At 43.6% G+C, this 24031-nt stretch overlaps 1 pseudogene, besides 2 other annotated features; it reads left to right on the top strand.

The window, feature by feature from the left end:
• On the top strand, positions 432 to 1426 carry OR7E36P (olfactory receptor family 7 subfamily E member 36 pseudogene; annotated as a pseudogene).
• Positions 10305 to 10837: an enhancer, noted in NCBI's record as "H3K27ac hESC enhancer chr13:41995989-41996521 (GRCh37/hg19 assembly coordinates)". NCBI's record gives its function as "activates a minimal SCP1, AML or CMV promoter by ChIP-STARR-seq in naive H9 embryonic stem cells {active_cell/tissue: H9 hESC(naive)}" and the evidence as "EXISTENCE:reporter gene assay evidence [ECO:0000049][PMID:30033119]".
• Positions 10838 to 11372: an enhancer, noted in NCBI's record as "H3K27ac hESC enhancer chr13:41995454-41995988 (GRCh37/hg19 assembly coordinates)". NCBI's record gives its function as "activates a minimal SCP1, AML or CMV promoter by ChIP-STARR-seq in naive H9 embryonic stem cells {active_cell/tissue: H9 hESC(naive)}" and the evidence as "EXISTENCE:reporter gene assay evidence [ECO:0000049][PMID:30033119]".

Genomic DNA, 24031 nt, shown 5'->3' with positions numbered 1-24031 from the left:
GATGGCATGGTCTCAGCAGTTATACAGTGTTTACAGATGTTCTAAATCAAGGGAATTTGTATCAATCTATTGGAATAAAATAAAATATTTGAGTTCTTAATTTCCTTTAATTAGGATAACCTTTTTCTTAAAGTGAAGAGAATGGTTTTATTACATAGTTTCCTTCAGTAAAGATAGGCTGTATTTTCTAGCAATTACGAATTTGTTATATATGATGATCTGGTTCTTGGAACATTCTTGAATCTAGTTTCTCTGAGACAGGTGTGTACAACAAGAAGTGAATAACACAGAAATCAATGATGAAAGCATTAGAAGACAATTGAGTTTGTCAGAACTGCAAAATATTGCTGAGTGTGGATTGCTCTGAAACCTGAAAACATTACTTGTGAATTGCTTCTATCCAAAATGCAGACACGATGCTGGGTGTTGGTTTACTTGTTTCCGATTTCTCAACCTCTTTTCTAGGCAAAAGGTGTTCAATCTCTACAGACCCACAGAATCTAACAGATGTCTCTGTATTCCTCCTCCTAGAACTACAGAGGATCCAGAACGGCAGCCGGTCCTCACTGGGCTGTTCCTGTCCATGTGCCTGGTCACGGTGCTGGGGAACCTGCTCATCATCCTGGCCATCAGCCCTGACTCCCACCTCCACATCCCCATGTACTTCTTCCTCTCCAACCTGTCCTTGCCTGACATCGGTTTCACCTCCACCACGGTCCCCAAGATGATTGTGGACATCCAGTCTCACAGCAGAGTCATCTCCTATGCAGGCTGCCTGACTCAGATGTCTCTCTTTGCCATTTTTGGAGGCATGGAAGAGAGACATGCTCCTGAGTGTGATGGCCTATGACCGGTTTGTAGCCATCTGTCACCCTCTATATCATTCAGCCATCATGAACCCGTGTTTCTGTGGCTTCCTAGTTTTGTTGTCTTTTTTTTTTCTGTCCTCAGTCTTTTAGACTCCCAGCTGCACAACTTGATTGCCTTACAAGTGACCTGCTTCAAGGATGTGGAAATTCCTAATTTCTTCTGTGACCCTTCTCAACTCCCCCATCTTGCATGTTGTGACACCTTCACCAATAAGATAATCATGTATTTCCCTGCTGCCATATTTGGTTTTCTTCCCATCTCAGGGACCCTTTTCTCTTACTCTAAAATTGTTTCCTCCATTCTGAGGGTTTCATCATCAGGTGGGAAGTATAAAGCCTTCTCCACCTGTGGGTCTCACCTGTCAGTTGTTTGCTGAGTTTATGGAACAGGCGTTGGAGGTTACCTCAGTTCAGATGATGTGTCATCTTCCCCCAGAAAGGGTGCAGTGGCCTCAGTGATGTACACGGTGGTCACCCCCATGCTGAACCCCTTCATCTACAGCCTGAGAAACAGGGATATTAAAGGTGTCCTGCGGCGGCCGCACGGCAGCACAGTCTAATCTCAATATCTTATCTGTTCCATTCCTTTGTAGTGTGGGTTAAAAAAGGCAGCAAAGTCAAATAAGAGTGATAACACAGGGCGAACACCCACTGTGATATTAGGAGTAATACCTCCCTGGGATATAAAAAATACCGTGACGGAGTATACACACATGGGGTACACCCACTGTGATATTAGAAGCAATATCTCCCTAAAGTAGGATGAAAAATATCACAGGGTGTGCATACTGTGTGATATGAGGAGTAATATTTACCCTGGATAGTATGACTAATATCAAGGGTGTACACACACGGGCTACACGCACTGTGATATCAGGAGTTGTATCTCCCTAGGATATTATGAATGCTATCACAGGGTATACACTATGTGTGTACATCCACTGTGATATTTGAAGTAATATCTCTCTATGAGATGATAAATAACATCAAAGCGTGTACACTCCTGTGACATATTAGGAGTAACGTCCTTCTAGGGTATTACAGATAACGTCACAACATGTACACCTCCTGTGAGGTTTTGTACTCTCTTTGTGACATTAAAAGAAACATCCCCCTAGGATATTATGAATAATAACACAGGCGGCCATGTGTGTACCCCTCCATAATATCCTAGGGGAATGTTACGCCTGATGACACAGGTGGTGTACACCATGTGTGTACCCCTCCTGTGTTACACGGTGTACACCCCATGTGTACATTCGGAAGAGCATGCCCCTAGGATATTAGCAATAGTATCACAGGCGTTGAATACGCATTTTTAATGCGTAATGTCACCCCCGGTGACATTAAAAATAACATCCCCCTTGGATATTACGAATAATATGACAGGGAGTACACCCCGTGTGACATTAGGAGTAACATCCCCCGAGGATATAACGAATACTATCAGAGGGTCTACATGCATTGTGGCCTTAGTACTAACATCTCTTTAGGATATTACGAATAATATCACAGGGTGTACAGGCATTGTGACATTAGTAGTAACATCCCGCTGGGATATGACGAGTCATATCACAGGGTGTACACCCCCGTGACAATAGTAGCAACATTCCCCTAGAATATTAGGAATCATATCACAGGAGGTACAGCCCCTGTGATTTATGAGTAACATGTCTATAGAATATTACAAGTCATATCACTGTGTGACTCTGTGTACACCCCGTGTGACTTTAGGAGTAACATCCCACAAAACTATGATGAAAAATATCACAGGGTGAACACCCCCTGTGACCTGAGGAATAACGTAGTTTCAGGATATTGTGAATGATGTGACAAGGTGTACACACCCTGTGACGTTAGGAGCAATATCCGTCGGGGATGTTAGGAAGAATATCACACGGAACACACCCCCTGTGACATTAGGATATGACAAATAATATCACAAGGTGTACATGCATCGTGACATTAGTGCTAATATTCCTCTGGTACACTATGAATAATATCACAGGGTGTACATCCCTGTGACATTAGGAGTAACATCCCCCTAGAATAGTAAGAATAATAACACGGGGTGTACACCCCCTGTGACATGAGGAGTATCATCTCGCTAGAATATTACAAATAATGTCACAGGGTGTTATCGTCTCTGCCAATAGGAGTAGAGACCCCTGGGAAATTGTGAATACTATCACAGGGTGCACAGCCCTGTGACATTAGGAGTAACATCTTTCTAGAATATCACAAATAATATCACAATGTGTACACCCCCTGTGTCATTAAAAGTAAAATTGCCCTAGGATATTAGGAAATAGAACACAGGGAGTACACCCCGTGTGACATTAGAAGTAACATCCCCCCAGGATATAGCGAATAACATCAGAGAATGTACCTGCGTTGGGACATGAGTAGTAACATCTCTTCAGGAAAATACGAATAATATCAAAGGGTGTACACGCTTTGTGAAATGAGCAGTAAACTCCTGCTACAATATTAGGAATTTTATGACAGGGTCTACACGCCCTGTGACATTAGCAGTAACGTTTTCCTAGAAGATTACAAAGAATATTAAAGGGTGTACATGACCTGTGAATTACGAGCAACATTTCCATAGCATGTTGCACGTAACATCACTGTGTGTACACGCCGTGTGACATTAGGGGTAACACCCCACAAAATTATAACGAATAATTTCACAAGGTGTGCACCCTCTGTGACATTAAAAGTAACATTTCCCTGGAATATGACGACAATATCACAAAGTGTACACCCTCTGTGTTATGAGGAGTGACATCTTATGAGCATAATACGAATAATTTGACAAGGTGTACAAACCCTGTGACATAAGGGGTGACATCCCTCTAGGACATTATGAATACTATGAAAAGGAACATACCCCGTGTCACAATAAAAGCAACCTCCACTTAGGAGAATAAGAATAACACCACAAGGTGTACACACAATGTGACATTATTATTAAGGTGAAGCTAGGATATTGGGAATAACTTCACAGGGTACAGAGTCCTGTGACGTCAGGTTTAACATTCCCCTACAAAATTACGAACAATATTGAAGGGTGTGTACCCCAGCGACTGTAGCAGCCGCATCTTGCTACAAGATGGAAGATAATGTCCCAGGGTGTGAACCGAGGATGGCAGTACAGAAAGAATCCTAGGACAAATCGGGGAGTAATATCACCCCCCTCTCACCCCCTGGATATTACGATCTACATCGCAGGGGGTCGGGAGCTCCCCTCGATGCGGGCAGGAATATCACCCCCCTCTTCCCCCTGGAAACGAGGATCCACACGGTATGGGGGCGGGAGCCTCCACGATTCGGGGAGTAATATCACCCCCCACTAACCCCATCGATATGACGATCCACATGGGAGGGGGGCTGGCGCTCCCCCGTATTCGGGGAGTAATATCACCCCCACACCCCCCGGACACGACGATCCACATCGCAGGGCGGAGGGCGACCCCACCAGGCGGGTAGTAATAGCACACTATCTCCCACCCTAGATACGACGGTCCTCATTGCAAGGGGGCGGGTGCCCCCCGCGACGCGGGGAGTAATACCACACCCGTCTCTCACCCTGGATATGACGATCCAAATTGGAGGGGAAGGGGCGCCCCCCGCGACGCGGGGAGTCATATCACCCCCCTCTCGAACACTGGATATAGCGATCCACATCGCACCGGGGGGCGAGGCGCCCCCCGCGATGCGGGGAGTAAGAGCCAGCCCCTCTTGCCCCCCTGGCTCTTTTAGGACCCCCATCGCAGGGGGGCGAGGCGCCCCCCGCGATGCGGGGAGTAAGAGCCAGCCCCTCTTGCCCCCCTGGCTCTTAGGATCCGCGGTGGACTCACAGCCTCTTTACCAGATTATGAGTAATATCATCTCCCCCTCTGGAGATTGTGAACTGTTTCCCAGACGGGTGGACACCCTCGGTGTACCGAGGGTGTCCACCCGTGTGTATTGGGGGTAATATCATCCTCTTCCTCCGTGGATATTAAGAACAGTATCACACAGGGGTTTCTACTCCCTGGGATATCGCGTGTCAGAACCTCCTCTCCCACGTGGCAGTTAGAAACAATATCAGTGAGGGCGTGTCCACCTTCTGTGATATTGAAAGTAATATCATCTTCTTCCCTCCAGGATCATGGGAACAATATCCCTGGGGTGTGTCCACTTTCTGCCATATATGTAGTCCTATCACCCCCTCCGCCTTGGAATATTATTAAGGACCATCTCACACGGTGGTGTACACTTCCTGCGATATTGGCAGTAATATCAACCTCTCGGCCTCTGAATATTAGGAAGAATATCACAGGGTGGGTGTGCACCTCCTGCTCTATTATGGAGAGTCATATCTATCTATTATGGGGAGTAATATCATCCTCTCCCTTTCAGGATATTAATAACAATTTCAAAGGCTGGGTGAACACAGCCTGCGATGCTGGAATTATTATCATCCTCTCCCCTCGGGATACCAGGGGCAATATCACAGAAGAGGTGTGCACTCCCTGCGATATTGGGAGTAATATCATACGCTTCTTCCGTGAATATTAGGAGCGATATCACCGAGTGGCTGTACCTTGATTGCTATGTTGGCAGTCATGTCATACTCTACCCACTTGGTATTAGGATCGGTGTCACAGGGTGAGTGTACACCTACTGCGATATGAAAACTAATATCATGCTCTCCATCCCTGGATATTAGGAACACTATCACAGGTAGGTGTACACCCCCTGCTGTATTAGCAGTAATAATACTATGAATTATTAAACATCAGTCTTCTTAATAATTATCAATAGTAATATTAATTAATAGTATAACGTTATTAATCGTTAATGATTATTTTCAAGACATGATTATGCATGATTAAAATTAATTATTAATATTAATGTCACTCTTAATATTAGTTATTAATCTTAATATTAATTATTGTTTTATTACCAACATCACTTATGATTGATTGAAGTAACATTAATTACTGATATCATTATTTTATTATTAATAGTGATATTGCTATTAATTATTAATAGTAACCGTTAATATTTTTCATCCCTACTAAGTTTTACTGTCTCTACTGTAATTATCGATGATTACTATTAATTGTTATTATATTTATTAATATTAATAATTAATATAACTTTTCCCGATATCCCTGGGGGAGAGGTTATTACTCCCAATATCGCAGAAAGTGTACACCCCTCTATGATGTTACTCCTAATAGCCAGGGGGTAGAGGATGACATTATTGAAAATAGGGCAGTGGGTATACATCCCTTCGGTCATCTTGTTCCTAATACCCTGGGTGGGAGCCGATGATATGACTCCCAATATCGCAGGGGGCGGAGACCTCCCCCGTGATACTGTCCCTAACATCCAAAGGTGGAGAGGATGATATAACACACCTCCTGCGATACGGGGAGTAAGAGCCAGCCCTTCTCCCCTCCTGGCTCTTAGGAGCCCCATCGCAGGCGGGTGAGGCCCCCTACCGCGGTACGGGGAGTAAGAGCCAGCCCCTACCCTCCCCTGGCTCTTAGGACCCCCATCGCAAGGGGGTGAGGTCCCCGCGATGCGGGGAGCCATATCACCCCCCTCTCCCCCCCTGGATATGAGGATTCACATCGCAGGGGGGCGGGCGCCACCGGCGTTGCGGGGAGTCATATCACCCCCCCTCCCCCCCTGGATACGACGATCCACGATGGTCACACAGCGTGTTCACGTTATTGCCAGTAATATCTTCTCTGCCTCTGGAAATTACCAACTATGTCACAGACGGGCACACATCCTCTGCACTCTTTGGAGTAATAGCATCCTCTTTCCCCTTGATATTAAGAACAATATCACAGGAGTGTTTTTACCCCTGGGGGCATTCCGTGTAGTATCATCCTCTCCCACGTTGAAATTAGGAACAATATCACTGGGGGCGTGTCCACCCCTTGCGATATTGAAAGTAACATCATCCTCTTCTCTCCAGGATTATGGGAACCATATCACTGGGGTGGTGTACACTTTCTGCGGTATTGGGAGTAAGATCATCCTCTCCGCCTTGGAATATTAAGGACCATATCACAGTGGGGCTGTACACACCCTGTGCTATTAAGAAGAATATTATCCTCCCTTGCCCTGCACATTGGAAAAAATATCACAGAGTGGGTGTACACGTCCTGCGATGGGGGGATGATATCATCTTCTCTTCTTCGGGATAATAGCAACAATAGTACACGGGTTTGTACACTTTCTGTGATATTGGGAGTAATATCAACCTCTCCGCCTTTGAATATTAAGAACAATATCACAGACTGGATGTACACCCCCTGCCATATTGGGAGTATTATCAGCCTCTCCTCTCCGTGGATATTAGGAATAATATCCCAGGATGGGTGTACACCTCCTGCTGTGTGGGGAGTCATATCGTCCTCTCCCTTCCTGGCTGCTAGGAACAATATCAGAGGGTGGGTGTACACAGCCTGCGATATTGCGAGTAATATCACCCTCTCCCCCTCCGGATATTAGGAACAATGTCACAGAAGGGGTGTACACTTCCTGAGATACTGCGAGTAATAGCATTCTCTTCTTCCGTGAATATTAGGAGCAAAATCACCGGGTGGATGCACACCCAGTGCTATATTGGGAGTAACGTCGTACTCCACCCCCTGGAGATTATATTCGGATCAATATCACCGGCCGGGTGTACACCTACTGCGATATTGAACGTAATATCATGCTGTCTCCCTCCCTGGACATTAGGAGCAATATCACAGGTGGGTGTACACCCACTGAGGTATTAGGCGTAATAGTAGTATGAATTATTCCTCATTTATTATTAACATGAATATGAATGACCGATATTAACATTAATATTAAGAAATATTAAAGGCTAATAAATATTAAGGCTAATAAAGTTTTCAGATTATTAATATTAATGTTAATTATTAGGAGCTAATATGACTGTTTTCTAATGAATAAGATCAATATCAGTTATTAATATCGGGCGTCATTAATCATTAATATTAATCATTTATTGTTGTGAGTGTAACTATTTAATATTAATTATCGTTATTATCGGTATTGATTTTAAAAATTATATGATCAGTTATTAATATTGATAATTATTAGTGTCAATTAATAATTGAGATGATTAATTGTGGTAAGTCACATTGCGCCACTCCACCCCTCCCTCGGCAGCTCGTTTACGACCCAAAACGGGGATCCAAATGCCCCTGAGAGAGCAGCGGTATACTGGGATAGATGAGGATGGTCACGTGGTGGAGAGGCGTGTTTTTGGGTACCAGCCCTTCACCTCCGTCCACCTTCTCAACTGGAAAAACAATACACCGCCCTATACCGAAGAGCCACAAGCCCTAATTGATTTGCTCCAAACTGTTATCCAGACCCACAACCACACCTGGGCTGATTGGCACCGGTTGCTCATGTTCCTCTTTAACAGCGAAGAAAGGCGGAGAGCGCTCCAAGCAGCAACTAAGTGGCTAGAGGAACATGCACCAGCTGATTATCAAAACCCCCAAGAGTATGGAAGGACCCAGTTGCCAGGAACCAACCCCCAGTTGGACCCACATGAAAGAGAGGATATGCAAAGGCTAAACCGAGACACAGAAGCTCTCTTGGAAGGATTAATGAGGGGAGCTCAGAAGGCCACAAATGTTAACAAGGTCTCTGAGGTCATTCAGGGAAAAGAGGAAAGTCCAGCACAATTCTAGGAGAGACTGTGTGAGGCCTATCGTATGTATACTCCCTTTGATCCCGATAGCCCTGAAATCAGCGCGTGATTAACATGGCTTTAGTCCGTCAAAGCGCAGAAGACATGAGAAGAAAACTGCAGAAACAGGCTGGGCTTGCAGGGATGAATACATCACAATTACTAGCAATAGCTAGCCAGGTGTTTGTAAACAGGGATGCAGTAAGCCGTAAGGAAAACGGTAAAGAGGATGGAGGTCAGGCCCGGTGAAAAGCTGACCTGTTTGTTAGCTGCAGCAATCAGAGGGGCCCCCCCAAAGAGGCAAGGGAAGGGGGGCCCTGGGAAAGAAACTCAGCTTGGCTGTCAGAGTTTGCAGCGTAACCAGTGTGCTTATTGTAATGAAATAGGACAGTGGAAGAACAAATGCTCTCAGCTCAAAAGAAAACAAGGTGACTCGCTCAACCTGGTGGAGGGGTTATTGCACTGATGGAGACCGGGCTCAATCATCCCCAAAGAGCCTCTGGTCAGATTGACAGTCGGGGGGTAGAGACATTGACTTTCTTGTAGATAGTGGTGCTGAACATTCGCTGGTAACCGCCCCGGTCGCCCTCTTATCCAAAAAGACTATTGACGTCATCGGAGCCACGGGGGCTTCAGCAAAGCAAGCTTTCTGCTTGCCTCGGACTTGTACTGTAGGAGGACATAAAGTCATTCATCAGTTTTGGTACATGCCTGACTGTCCCTTGCCCTTTTCGGGAAGGGACTTGCTCAGCAAGCTGAGAGCCACTATCTCTTTGACAGAGCATGGCTCTTTGCTGCTAAAGTTACCCGGAACGGGAGTCATTATGACCCTTATGGTCCCCCGAGAGGAGGAACGCAGACTTTTCTGAACTGAGCCAGGCCAAGAGAGAAGACCAGCTCTGGCTAAGCGGTGGCCAAGAGTACGGGCAGGAGACAAGCCTCCGGGATTGGCCGGTTAAGACTGGGGCCCAGCCGGTTAGGCAAAAACAGGACCCGGTCCCCAGAGAAGCTCTTCAAGGTATCCAGGTCCGTCTCAAGCACCTAAGAACTTTTGGAATTATTGTTCCTTGCCAGTCTCCATGGAACACTCCCCTCCTGCCTGTTCCCAAGCCACGGACCAAGGACTACAGGCTGGTACCGGATTTGCGCTTGCTTAATCAAGCTACCTTGACTTTCCATCCAACAGTACCTAACCCGTCCACATTGTTGGGGTTGCTGCCAGCTGAGGACAGCTGGTTCACCTGCTTGGACCTGAAAGACGCTTTCTTTCCTATCAGATTAGCCCCTGAGAGGCAGAAGCTGTTTGCCTTTCAGTGGGAAGATCCGGAGTCAGGTGTCACTACTCAATACACTTGGACCGGGCTTCCCCAAGGGTTCAAGAACTCCCCCCACCATCTTCGGGGAGGCGTTGGCTCGAGACCTCCAGAAGTTTCCCACCAGAGACCTAGGCTGCGTGTTGCTCCAGTAGGTTGATGACCTTCTGCTGGGACACCCCAAGGCAGTCAGGTGTGCCAAGGGAACAGATGCCCTACACCGGCACCTGGAGGACTGTGGGTATAAGGTGTCCAAGAAGAAAGCTCAGATCTGCCGACAGCAGCTACGTTACTTGGGATTTACTATCCGACAGGGTTGGAACGCAGCCCGGGATCAGAAAGAAAGCAGGTCATTTGCAATCTAGCGGAGCCTAAGAGCAGAAGGCAAGTGAGGGAATTCTTAGGAGCTGTGGGGTTTTGTAGACTGTGGATCCCAAACTTTGCAGTATTAGCCAAGCCTTTCTATGAGGCCACAAAGGGGGTGGGGACCGCGAACCTTTGGAATGCGGATCCCAACAACAGCAAGTCTTTCACGAGTTAAAGGAAAAACTTCTGGCAGCACCAGCCCTGGGGCTACCCGATCTGACAAAGCCTTTTCCATTGTATGCATCAGAGAGAGAAAAGATGGCAGCTGGACTTTGAACCCAAACTGTGGGGCCCTGGCCAAGGCCGGTGGCCTACCTTTCTAAACAACTAGACGGGGTTTCTAAAGGATGGCCCCCCCTGTTTGAGGGCCTTGGCAGCAACTGCCCTGCTAGTACAAGAAGCAAATAAGCTGACTCTTGGGCAAAACCTGAACATAAAGGCCTCCCATGCTGTGGTGACTTTAATGGATACCAAAGGACATCATTGGCTAACGAATGCCAGACTCACCAAGTACCAAACTTTGCTCTGTGAAAATCCCTGTATAACCATTGAAGTTTGTAACACCCTACACCCTGCCACCTTGCTCCCGGTATCAGAGAGCCCTGTCGAGCCTGATTGTGTAGAAGTGTTGGACTCAGTTGACTCTAGCAGACCTGACCTCCGGGACCAGCCTTGGGCATCGGTAGACTGGGAACTATCCGTGGATGGGAGCAGCTTCTTCAACCCCCAAGGAGAGAGAGGTGCAGGGTATGCAGTGGTAACCCTGGACACTGTTGTTGAAGCCAGATCGTTGCCCCAGGCCACTTCAGCCCAGAAAGCTGAACTCATTGCTTTCATTCAGGCCTTGGAACTCAGTGAGGGTGAGACCGTAAACATTTACACTGATTCTCGGTATGTCTTTTTAACCCTTCAAGTGCATGGAGCGTGATAGAAAGAAAAGGGCCTATTGAACTCTGGGGGAAAAGACAGAAAATATCAACAAGAAATCTTGCAATTATTAGAAACAGTATGGAAACTCCTAATGTCACAGGGGGTGTACACCCTTCGATATTATTTGTAATCTTATGGAGAGATATTGCTTTAAATACCACAGTGGGTGTACACACATGGGGTACATCCACTGGGATATTATTTGTAATATCTTCGAAAGATACAGCTCCTAGTATCACAGTGGGTGTACCCCATGTGTGTACACCCTGTGATATTATTTGTAATATCCATGGTAAACATTACTTCTAGTAACCCACAGAGAGTACACCCTGTGATATTTTTCATAATATCATAGGGAGATATTGCTGCTAATAACACAGTGGGTGTACACCATGTGTGTACACTCTGCGATATGATAGCTTATATCCTAGGGAGATATTCCTTCTAATATCACAGTGAGTGTACACCCTGTGATATCATTCATAATATCCTAGAAAGATGTTGCTGCTAATATCACAGAGGGTGTGCCCCCAGTGACATTATTCGTAATATCCTAGAGAGATGTTACTCCTAATGTCACAGGGGGTGTACACTCTGTTATATTATTCATAATATTCTAGGGATGTGTTAGTTTTAAAGCTCTGAGTTCCTGCAAGGTGGATAGCTGGGAAGCCAGGAGGAGGAGGAAATAAAGCAGAGAACCCAGGTCCTGGAAGCAACACGGCAAGTCATCTGCAGCTTTCATTTTGTCTTTTCCTTCCCTTCTTCTTTATCGCCTTTTACATTCTTTTTTTCTCTCTCTCCATCCCTCATTCTCTTCGACCTGTCGCTGGCACCCACTGGTGATGCCCTGAGCTAACAGACCAGCAGCCAATCTGGGAGCTGAAGCCATGAGGCTACCTTCAAATGCAGCTCTCCCTCTGGCCAGAGCTGGGGTGCAGGGAAGTAGATATCCAACCCAGCTCTTGCATGATGGCTCAGGGTCCCTGTCAGCTAAACAATCAGTCGAGCTGATCTTCAGAGGAGCCTACAAAACAGTCCCATCTTTAACAACCGCTATAATTTACCAAACAAATGAAGAAGCTCTTTACCCAGGAGAGATTGGTTGGCTGCTGTCAGCTGCACCCCACTGTAAGGGAACCTGCCCACACACTGGGGAGATGGCTGGGCAAGGGGCCCGGACTCAAATGGAGTGTCACCAGCTCTAGGATGAGTGTCACTTTGATTCCAAAGGACTAGTACCCTCTCTCTTTCCTAATTATAAATATATTTTAATATATAGGAAAACGTAGAGATTGAGTAATATTGTGTGTACCCACCACCAAGAATTAACATATGTTAACAATTTGTCATGCTTGCTTCCGATATTTTTGAGACCTAACTTAAACATACAATAAAGTACACAAATCCTGAGTGTAGAGTTTAATAAATGTTTACTTGTGTAGACACCTGTGTAGTTACCATTCAGATGAAGATGTAATAGATCATCATCACCTCAGAAGGGTCTCTATGCTATTTTCTAATCAGTAGCACCCCATAATGAACCCTTATTCTGAATCCTGTCACTAGGAATTAGTTTTGCCTATTGTAGAGCTCCTTAAAACAAAGTTACATTGCATGTAATCATTTATGCCTGGCTTCTTCTGCTTAACATAATGTCTATAAGATTCATCTGTGTTATTGCAGTATTAATGCATCCTCCTGAGGGTGGACATTTGAGTTGTTATTTTGATGTTGTTGTTGTTGCTGCTGTTGTAAATAGTGTTGCAATGAATCTTCTTGCACCTGTGTTCTTGGGTACATGATTAAGACTATCTAACATCTACATCTAGAAGTAGAATAACCAAATTGGTTTGATTAGTCACTGGCTAATATAAATAAAGCTGCAATGAACATCCTTGTACATTTATTTTGGTGCACATGTGTACTCACTTCTCTTGGGTATCTATCTAGGGGCAGAATTTCAGAATCACGGGATAGGCATATGTTTCACTTTCATAGATACTGCCAAACCATTTTCCAAAGTGCTTGAATGAATATACACTCCCACCAAAGTCTAAGAGTTCCAGCTGCTCCATATTTGTGCCAACATATGATGTGTTAGACTCATTAATATTAGCCATTCTGGTGAGTGTGTACTGGTATCTTACTAGGATTTTTCTTCTCTTCCTCCTTCTCCTCCTTCCCCTCCTCCTTACTGTGGCTTTAATTTACATTTCCCTAATAAGTAACAAATTAGCCACCTTTTCACATGCTTTGAATATTTTTGAATAAGAGAAAAGAGCAGTACAGATAAAGTTGAAACCCCCTGATCACCCTTCCCAGTCCAAGTCACCTTCCTCCCCAAAGACAGCCACTACCATGAATTTGGTAAATACTCTCCCATCCATATTTTTATACCTAAACTATATTTATGTTTCCATAAAAAACCTACAGAATTTCTTTCTGTGGTTTTTCTAGTTTACGTAACTGCTTTCATGCTGCAACATGCTTTATTTTCATTCAATATTGCTTTTGCACATATTGAGATACACACAGATCTAGTTTATTCATTATCTGCCAAATAGAAGTCTATTGAATGCCTACAGCATGATTTATTCATCTACTCTCCAGTTGATAGGCACTTGGGTTATTTCCAGTGTTTCTCTCTCACAGATAATGCTACAGTTACCATCCTTGTACATATCTCCTGTGCAAGCGAGTCCCCTTCTGTATGCATCTTGATTCCTTCCCTAGAAGCAGATAAAAGGCAAAGCTTAAACTCAGCCCCTTTTCTGTCCCAGGGCCTCCTCTGGTCCTCAGCCACCTGACCATAGTGACAGAGATGATGAGTGACCATCTCATCCCTCACTGAGAAGGGACATGGAGCTGTGTCTTTCATCAGCCCTCAGCCTAAATCTTTTATTAATTTTTATTTATAATTAACATAATAATTGTATATATGTATGGGTTACAGTGTGATGTTTCAATATATCTTTACATTGTATAATGATCAAATCAGGATAGTTATCATAGCCATCACTTTAAACATTTATCATTTCTTTGTTGTGACATTCAAAACCTTCTCTTCTAGGTTCTTGAAATGTGTACTGCGTTGTTATTTACTATAGTCACCCAGCTGTGTGATAAAACACCAGAACTCACTCTTCCTGTCTAACTGTAACTTTGTACCCGTTGACCAGCCTCTCCCTGTTCTCCCCTCCTCCCTACCCTCCCAGCCTCTGGTAACCACTATTCCACTCTACTTCTATGAAATCAGCTTTTTTAGATTCCACATATGAGTGAGACCATGTGGTGTTTGTCTTTCTGTGTCTGGCCCTAGGCCCAAATTAACCGTCACATCCTTATAGTGGGATTTACACACATTCCAAGTTCCAGAAGGTCATTCGGTCACACAGATCTCCTTCCAGAAAAAGACGAGTTAGCCTTTGATTTGAAACAGGACAACCACAGCTTCTTGTGTTTTTAAAGACCGGTTCTTTTTCTTAATTGGCATCTGTCTTAGTCCACTTGTGCTGCTATAACAAAATACTGCAAACTGGGTAATTTATAAAGAACACAAATGTCCCTGGGTGTGGTGGCTGATGCCTGTAATCCCCACACTTTGAGAGGCAGAGGCAGGAGGATCATTTGAGGCCAGGAGTTCGAGATTAGCCTGGACAATATAGCAAGATGCCATCTCTACCAAAAATTTTTTTAAGAAAATAAATTTAAAAAAAGAAATGTATTTCTCACAGTTCTGGAGGCTGGGAAATCCAAGAGCAAGGCACCAGCATCCAGTGTCTGGTGAGGGCCTTCTTGCTTTGTTCTCACATGGTAGAACGGACAGAAGGGAATGAACCCTCCCCCTAAGGCTATTACACTGGCAATTAAGTTTCAGCATAAGAATTTTGGAGGACAGTGGAGACAATAGCAGCATCTCTTCCCCCGCACACTCCTGACTACTCTCTCCTTGAAACCTGTCCTAAGTATCCAGCTCCTGGCCTTATCATTCTTCTCGGGCCCCTGCTGAGTCCTCCTTCTTTGAGTGATCATTAATGTCAGTGGTTCCCTACTTGACCTTTTCTTCCCACTCTACACTCTCTTCAGGCCATCTCCTCCCCTCTCAAAATCTTACCTAACATGGGAGAGCTTTGAAATCTTTATTTCCAGAACTGACTTTTTTTTAACTCTCAAGTCTCTTATACCCAATCACCTGATGTTCCTCCACAGACACTCTGTGGAAAAACTTCTAGTTGTTTCCTAATATCAGGTCTCCCCATCCTGTTTAGTAATGAATAGGTGGACCCATGAATTCCTGAAATAAAGACTATATTCCCAGCCTGTTTTGCAGTTAGGTGTGGTAATGTGACTAAATTTTGGACAACAGGCTGTAAGCAGAAGTATCCTGTGAAACCTCTGGAATGCCTCCTTACGGGAAGGGGACAGGCACCCTCATCCTTGCTTCTTCTTGTTCCATGAAAGACAGACCTGAAGCTAGATTTCACATCATGGGATGGAAGCTGCTTATTGAGGATGGCAACAAAACGTGAGAGAATATTGGATCCCTGATGCCATGAAGCTGCTGTACCCACTGTCCCTGGATTACCAACAAGAGAAAGGTAAAATAAAATGTCCACCTTGTGGGCTGGGCACGGTGGCTCACACCTATAATCCCAGCACTTTGGGAGGCTGAGGCAGGCAGATCACCTGAAGTCAGGAGTTCGAGACCAGCCTGGCCAACATGGTGAAACCGTGTTGCTACTAAAAATACAAAAAATTAGCCAGGCATGGTGGGGTGTGCCTGTAATCCCAGCTACTTGGGAGGCTGAGGCGGGAGAATTGCTTGAATCCTGGAGGCGGAGATTGCAGTGAGCCGAGATCATGCCATTGCACTCCAGCTTGGGCAACAAGAGTGAAACTCTGTCTTAAAAAAAAAAGTCCATCTTGTGTAAGCCACTATTTAGGGGATTTCTGATCTTTACAACTGAATCTAACCCTGATACCAAATGCCTCAAACAAATCCCATCTGGAATCTCTCAACCCTGGAATTGTGAGTTTAATAGACAGTCATTTCCTTATGGCTTAAGCAAGGATGAGTCCTGTTTCAGTGACTGTATTCTTTTGCTAGGGCTGCCATAGCAAAGAGTCACAAACTGGGTAGCTTAAAACAATAGAAAGGTTTTCTGTTACCAACTTTTGAAGGTTAGAAGTTCAAAATCTAGGTGTTGGCAGGGTTGGTTCCCACTGAAATCTCTAAGGGAGAATCTGTTCCAGGCCTCTCTGATATGGTTTGGCTGTGTCCCCACCCAAATCTCATCTTGAATCGTAGCTCCCATAATTCCCACATGTTGTGGGAGGGACCCACTGGGAGATAACTGAATCATGGGGGCAGTTTCCCCCATACCATTCTCGTGGTAGTGAGTAAGTCTCATGAGATCTGATGGTTTTATAAGGGGAAACTCCTTTCACTTGGCTCTCATTCTCTCTCTTTTCTGCTGCCATGTAAGACAGGCTTTTGCCTTCCACCATGATTTGAGGCCTCCCCAGCCACATGGAACTGTGAGTCCATTAAACCTCTTTTTCTTTATAAATTACCCAGTCTCGGGTATGTCTTTATCAGCAGCATGAGAACAGACTAACACACTTTCCTAGCTCCTGGTGGTCTGCTGGCAATCTTTGGCATTCCTTGGCTTGCAGATGCATCACTGCCATCTCTGCCTCCAGCTTCACATGGTGTTCCCCATGTGTCTTTAGCTGTGTCTTTTCTCCTTATTTTAGGAGGACGCCAATCATATTATATTAGGCCCACCCTAATTCAGTATGACCTCATCCTAACTTGATTACATCTGAAAAGACACTATTTCCAAGTAAGGTCACATTCACAAGTACAGGGGTTAGGATTTGAACATATCTTGTGGAGTGGAACACAATTTATTCACAAAAGTGAAATAAACCCCAAATTGGCCTATAGTAACTAAAATCATATTAAAGAAGGATAAAGTTACCCTATGTGGTTTCACGACATACTATAAATTTACAATAATTAAAACAGTGTGGTATTTGCCAAGGACTGGCAAATGGACCATTGGAACAGAATAAAGTCCAAAAATAGTTATATACATATTTGATTAATTGATAAATAAAACTGTCCATGAAATTCAATGAAGAAAGAAAAGTGTTTTTAAAAAGTGGTGCTGGAATAACTGGCCATCTGTACAGAAAACATTTTACTGTAACATCTACTATATACCCCCCACAAAAATTAATTTAAAATAGATCATAGACCTAAATGTGAAAGCTAAAACTATAAAACTTTCAAAATAAAACAGAAGAATATCTTCATGACCTTGATGTAGTAAAAGATTTTTTTAGACAGGTTACAAAAAGCACTAATTATTTTTTAAAATTTGAGAAACTAGACCTTATCAATATTAAAAACTTTCATTGATCCAAGACGCCATTAGAAAAAGAAAAGCCACAGACTGGAAGAAAATATTGTAATACACATATCTGACAAATTATTCATTTATTTATTTGTTTTGAGACAGAGTCTCACTCTGTTGCCCAGGTTAGAGTGTAGTGACACGATCTTGGCTCACTGCAACCTCTACCTCCCAGGTTCAAGTGATTCTTATGCCTCAGCCATCCAAGTAGCTGGGATTACAGGCATGAGCCACCACTCCCAGTTAGTTTTTGTATTTTTAGCAGAGACGGGGTTTCTCCATGTTGACCAGGCTGGTCTCGAACTCCCGACCTCAGGTGATCTGCCCACCTCAGCCTCCCAAAGTGCTGGGATTACAGGCGTGAGCCACCACACCCAGCCAGGATTTGTTTTCAGAATTTAGAAAGACCCATCTACAAAGTAATCACAAATAGACAAACTGGTAAAAATTAAAAATGGCAAAACATTGAAACATACAACTCACAAAAGAGTATATGTTAATGACCAAGAATCATATGAATAGTCAAATATACAATTACCCTATAAGCTAGCAATTCTCCTACATATTTATCCTAAAAGAAATGAAAAACAATGTAAAAAGGAATATTTATTCATAATAGCCAAAAGCTGGTAACAACACAAATGTTCATCAAAGGAAGAATGAACTCACAACTGTGGTATATTCATGCAATGGAATACTGCTCGGCAATAGAACGAACTACTAACACACACATGGATAAATCTTAGAAACAGTATGTTTGCAAGAGTGCTGCAGTAGGTGGAATAATGACCCCTCAAAGATGACCATCCTAATCGCTGCAATCAGTATGTTACCTTACCTGGCAAAAGAGACTTCATATGATGAAGATTAAGGATCTTGAAATAGGACGATATGCCTGGGTTATCCACGTGGGCCCAGTCTAATCACATGAGTTCTTAGAAGTAGAAAACCTTTCCTGGCTGTGGTCGGAGAGAGAGATGGCTACAGAGGAATTGTAGAGATGCAACATTGCTGGCTTTAAAGACAGAGGAAGGGGCCATAGGCCAAGAAATGCAGGTGGCCTCTAAAAGCTTGAAAAGACAAGAAAATAAATTCTCCCCTAGAGCCTCCAGAAAAGGACATAGATCGGCAGATACCTTGACTGTGGTCCAGCAAAGTCCAACTCTGTTGGACTTCTAATATAAAAAAACTTTATTGTTTATTAAATAATATGTATTTAAATTTGTGTTATTTTAAGCCACTAAATTAGTGCTAATTTGTTACAGCAACAACTAGAAAACTAACAGAAGTACATACTATATAGTTCCACTTATATGGATCCTAAGTCCAGATCTGTAAAACTGATCTGTGGAGCTATGTGTCAGATCAACGGCTGCTTCCAGGGAGAGGTGCTCCCCAGTGGAAAGGTTCACAAGGGAAATTTCAGAAGCCCCACCTTGATTTGGGTGATCGTTACATGGCGGTGTGCCTTTGTCAGGACCCATTGAACTGTACACTTAAGATTTATTATGCACTTAACTGTAGATAAATATACCTCAGTAATACTTTTTTTTTAAAGAGGGGCAGCTATGCAGTTTGCCTTCCCTGATTATCAGGATTTTGTACCCATAAGCTCTATTCTGTTTCCCCTTTCAAAAGCAAGCGCATGTGCTTCTTTGCATCCAGACCCATGAAATCACCATCTTTAAGCCAAAATGCCACTGCTCCAACCATCCTAAAAAGTCCCAGAAAAGCCTAAGATTTCTCTGGCAAATGGGTGTCCCTGGCACAGTCTGTAGGAAGGAGAAGCCACCCTGGCACCGGACACATATCAGACCCTTCACATTCACCCTCTGTCCTCCTGATGAACCCATGATGTCAGTATTAGGATCTCCACTTTACAGGGAAGAAAATTGAGTTATATTTCAAAAATAGCTAGAAGAGAGGACTTAAAATGTTCCCAACACATAGAAACAAATACACAAGGTGACAGATACCCTGAATCCCCTGACTTGATCATTACACATCCTATGCACGTAACAAAATATCACATGTACCCATAAATCTGTATAACTACTATGTATCAATTAAAACTTTTTCAATTACAAAAAAATGAAGAAAACTGAGGTTCAAACAGCAAAGAACCCACCTGACATGACCCAGCTAATGGGATACCATGCTTTGCACCCCATCTGTCTGACTCCTTAGTTGACCTCTTTCCATGACCCCAAGTGACCTTCCTCCCACACTGCCTCCCTAACTCCTGCTAACTGCCTGCTTCCTAGCAGGGACCACCAGTGATTTATAATAAATGAGGGACAAATGTAAGCAGAATGTTCCAGAGGTAAGAGCCCTCCTTAAAGAAAGCCTAACATGGCTGAGAAGATGGGACTTTTTAGAGAATGAAAAATATCTGTAATTTTTTTTATAGATTTCTGTGAATATAACTGACTACAACAAACATAATTGGGTACATTCACAAGGTAGTGAACATAACCAACTCCCCACTCTAATCCCTTCTCACTCTTTCCTTTCCCCTCCCCATTCCCAGGCAACCGATGAGCCATTCTCTGTCACTATGGATTGATTTGCAATTTTTAGAATTTTATATAAATGGAATCATGCAGTATGTACTCTTTCTATAATTAGTGTTTGAGATTTCTCCATGTTGCTGTATATATCAACAGTTCACTCCTTTTTTATTGCAGAATAATATTCCATTGAATGAATATATCACAATTTGTTTATCTACTCACCTGCTGATGGACATTTGGGCTGTTTCGACTTTGAGCTATTACAAATACAAGGACAGGCAGATGCTATTGTTTGCTCCTGGGTAAATACTTAAGAGTGGAAAGGCTGGTCGACTTCTTAACGCTTAGAGAAATAAAAGCACTTTATTATTATTTTTTTTAGATGGAGTCTCACTCTATCGCACCCAGGCTGAAGTGCAGTGGTGTGATCTCGGCTCACTGCAACCTCTGCCTCCGGGGTTCAAGCGATTCTTCTGCCTCAGCCTCCCAAGTAGCTGGGACTACAGGCATGTGCCACCATGCCCAGCTAATTTTTTTGTATTTTTAGTAGAGATGGGGTTTCACCATGTTCACCAGACTTGTCTCAAACTCCTGACCTCAGGTAACTCAGGTATCTCAAACTCCTGACCTCGGCTTCCCAAAGTGCTGGGATTATAGGCGTGAGCCACCACGCCCAGCCTAAGAAAAGCACTTTAATGTGATTTTAAGCCAAAACAACCACAGCACTTCTTGAACAGCCTCAAAACAGGAGTTTCCCCACAGCTGGGTTTTACAATTCTCTGCTGCCACCATCTGGGAATCAAAAAGACAAGTGGTGTCCTCAGGATCCACTCCCCGGGCCCAAGGTCTACCCTGCCCTCTCTGCTCTGTCCAGCAATGCTGCCCCCACCCCACCACACCACACCCACAGCCTGCAACCCATTCAAAGACCATTGAACTCACTTGGTTACCGGTGATGAATTTCTGAGTGGTTCAGCCACACCCATAATCAATGGGAAGAAGGAGAATAGGACTTAAACCTTTTTAGTCCTAATGTGACAGAGGAAAAAAAAAAGTATTTCAAATGTTAGAAATAAGCTAGCACTCCCTTTGCAACCCAAACCAGTTTGGCAAATTGTGATCTGTGTCACTGGTGTTTTTGTACCCTGGTGCCTGCCACTTGGTAAGTATTTAATTTACATTTGTTGAACGGATGAATGAGTGAATGATCACCACACACATTTCTCTAATTAGCAACAGTAAAGGTGCAGTTGGTTCCTAGTAAGAGCACTCTGAACTAAGGGTCAGAAGACCTGGACTCTGATATTTGCCCGGCCCATAAACTAGCTGTGTGCCAGGATGGGCAACCTTTCTGAGCCTCGGCTTCCTCACGTATAAAATTAGAAAACAACCTGGTGACTTTAGCTTTGGGGAACATTTAAATAAGAGCCACATGCAAAAATCCTTTATTAACTATCAGTGTGTCACAAATGTACAATATCAACGTTTACAAATGTATTTACAAATGTATTCACAAATAAAAATAACTATACAATATGCCTTTTTACATCGTCTTCCAAAAACACAAATCTGTCTCATACATTTAGGGCTGTGTTGTTCATGAGTTAAGGAAGAGCAAATTTATGCCACCCCTAGTAAACCAAGACACGGATGCAGAGAGGTTAATTGAGTCTCTGAAGATCACCCAGGGAATCATTTTTTGGGCAAATTTGACTCTGTCTCTCCCTTCTGAAGTTACACATTCCTCTTTCTCTCCACATTTCCAGTAGCATTTCTCTGTACTAATGTCTCTGACACTCCTAAATGTGGAGATAGACTTTGTAAGACTAAGTGGAAAGCAAATGCGAATTTCTTCCTCGCACCAATGAGGATGGTTCATTTGTGTGCTTGGTTATTTTATAAATGGTGTTAATTAAACTTTCTCAGATAAAGACCACCTAGCTCCAATGCATAGTCCAACACTATTAGAATACAATAAAGCTAACAGACTGTCAGGCCTCTGAGCCCAAGCTAAACCATCATATCCCCAGTGACCTGCAAGTATACATGCACATGACCTGAAGCAACTGAAGACCCACAAAAGAAGTGAAAATAGCCTTAACTGATGACATTCCACCATTGTGATTTGTTTCTGCCCCACCCTAACTGATCAGTGTACTTTGTAATCTCCCCCACCCATCTCCACTACCCTTAAGAAGGTTCTTTGTGATTCTCTCCACCCTTGAGAATGTACTTTGTGAGATCCACCCCCTGCCCCCAAAACATTGCTCTTAACTCCACCGCCTATTCCAAAACCTGTAAGAACTAATGAGAATCCCACCACCCTTTGCTGACTCTCTTTTTGGACTCAGCCTGACTACACCCAGGTGAAATAAGCAGCCATGTTGCTCACACAAAGCCTGTTTGGTGGTCTCTTCACACGGACATGTGAGACACAGACTATTAATGCAAGAGATTATTTTCACCACTGTCAGGAAAAAAAAAATTATATACAGAAATCTGAAATTCTTCAGAATGGGCCAAATTCTCACCTGGCCCTTATTTGTCCTCGTCTGCTCCCACCTCCACACTGCCCATCTGCTCTACCCACAGCTTATTTTAGATGAACATCTGCTTTGGTTTGGAGTTGAGGCTGGGAATGGAGCAGTAAATCATGACTTTGTAAGGACCAGGCAGTGGAGTCTCCATCTTCTACTATCCCACAGCCCTGTTTTGTACATTCCAGTGTGATTACTTTACTCTTCCCTGTGTTCTAACACAGGTGCTCATGGGGTAGAAATGATTAAATGAACACACACATAAACTAGGCTGACACACTGCCAGCATCGTGTGAGTGGGGAGAAGTAGAAGAATGCAATATTCCTTGCTAGGTAGCATCTTTTTCCAGATTCTTCTGGTAGAGAAAACTTCAAGATGATCACACTAATTACAATGAAATATGAATAGCGTAATGATCATGTTTTCAATAAGAAACAGACCAGCTACAGGGGGTCCCAGGGCTGTGGAAGCAGCACTCCTCATGACCCCATCCTGTCACGCTTAGAGTGGGGGAGAGGAACCCACTCATTCTACAGCTAGCCTCATGGCTTCCTGAATGAGCTGTTTATCCTCTTGATTTGCTCTTCAGAAAGATGACTTTTTGAGAAGGAAACATAGTTAACTTACTAACTTCTTAAACGTTTAGAGTTTGGGTAACTTTGCATGAAAAAGAAACAATGAAATATTAAGCTCTATGTTGTCAAGGTAGTAGAAAATCTTAGCATTCAATAAAATCTACCATAAGTAAAGTTGAATATGGTAACTTATGTTAAATGCAGGGGGGAGGTCCGTGTGAGTACAGAACCTTTAAGCTCTCATTAAATGTGGCCCAACATCAGCAGCTGTTCTTTGGATCATCCCTAATACATGTGAGCATCACTAGCACCAGGAATTTGTTCTCTAATTTCACTAAAAGGAAAAAAGACTCCTTGGAGAGTAGCAGCTGATTGAATGTCTTAGAGAAGGAAAAAAGATTATTTTGAAACTGGAATATCCTATTGTTTCCAGAAAGCAAAGATGTTTTTTGAAAATGTCTGGAGTACAGCAACTTGGGGTAGGCTCCATCTGCCATGTAATGACAATTTAAGTATCATCATCTTTATATGCAGTGGAAATCAGTGATTCTCAAACCTGAGAGAGTGTCAGAATCCCCTGGAGGGGTTAAAACATACACATGGCTGGGTCCACTACCGGTTTCTGATTCTGTGGGTCTGGAGTGGGGCCCAGGAATCTGCATTTCTAACATGTTCCCAGGTGAAGCTGCAGCTGCTGATCCAGGGTCCACATTTTGAGAACTGGTATCCTAATGGAATTGAATGAGTATAAAGTATCCTAATTGAACTGAATGAGT

The sequence above is a fragment of the Homo sapiens genome, chromosome 13 (genome assembly GCF_000001405.40).
Source record: "Homo sapiens chromosome 13, GRCh38.p14 Primary Assembly".
In the NCBI taxonomy this organism is placed as follows: domain Eukaryota; kingdom Metazoa; phylum Chordata; class Mammalia; order Primates; family Hominidae; genus Homo; species Homo sapiens.
Note: the sequence above shows the minus strand (reverse complement) of the source record. Positions and strands in the feature narration are given on the sequence as shown.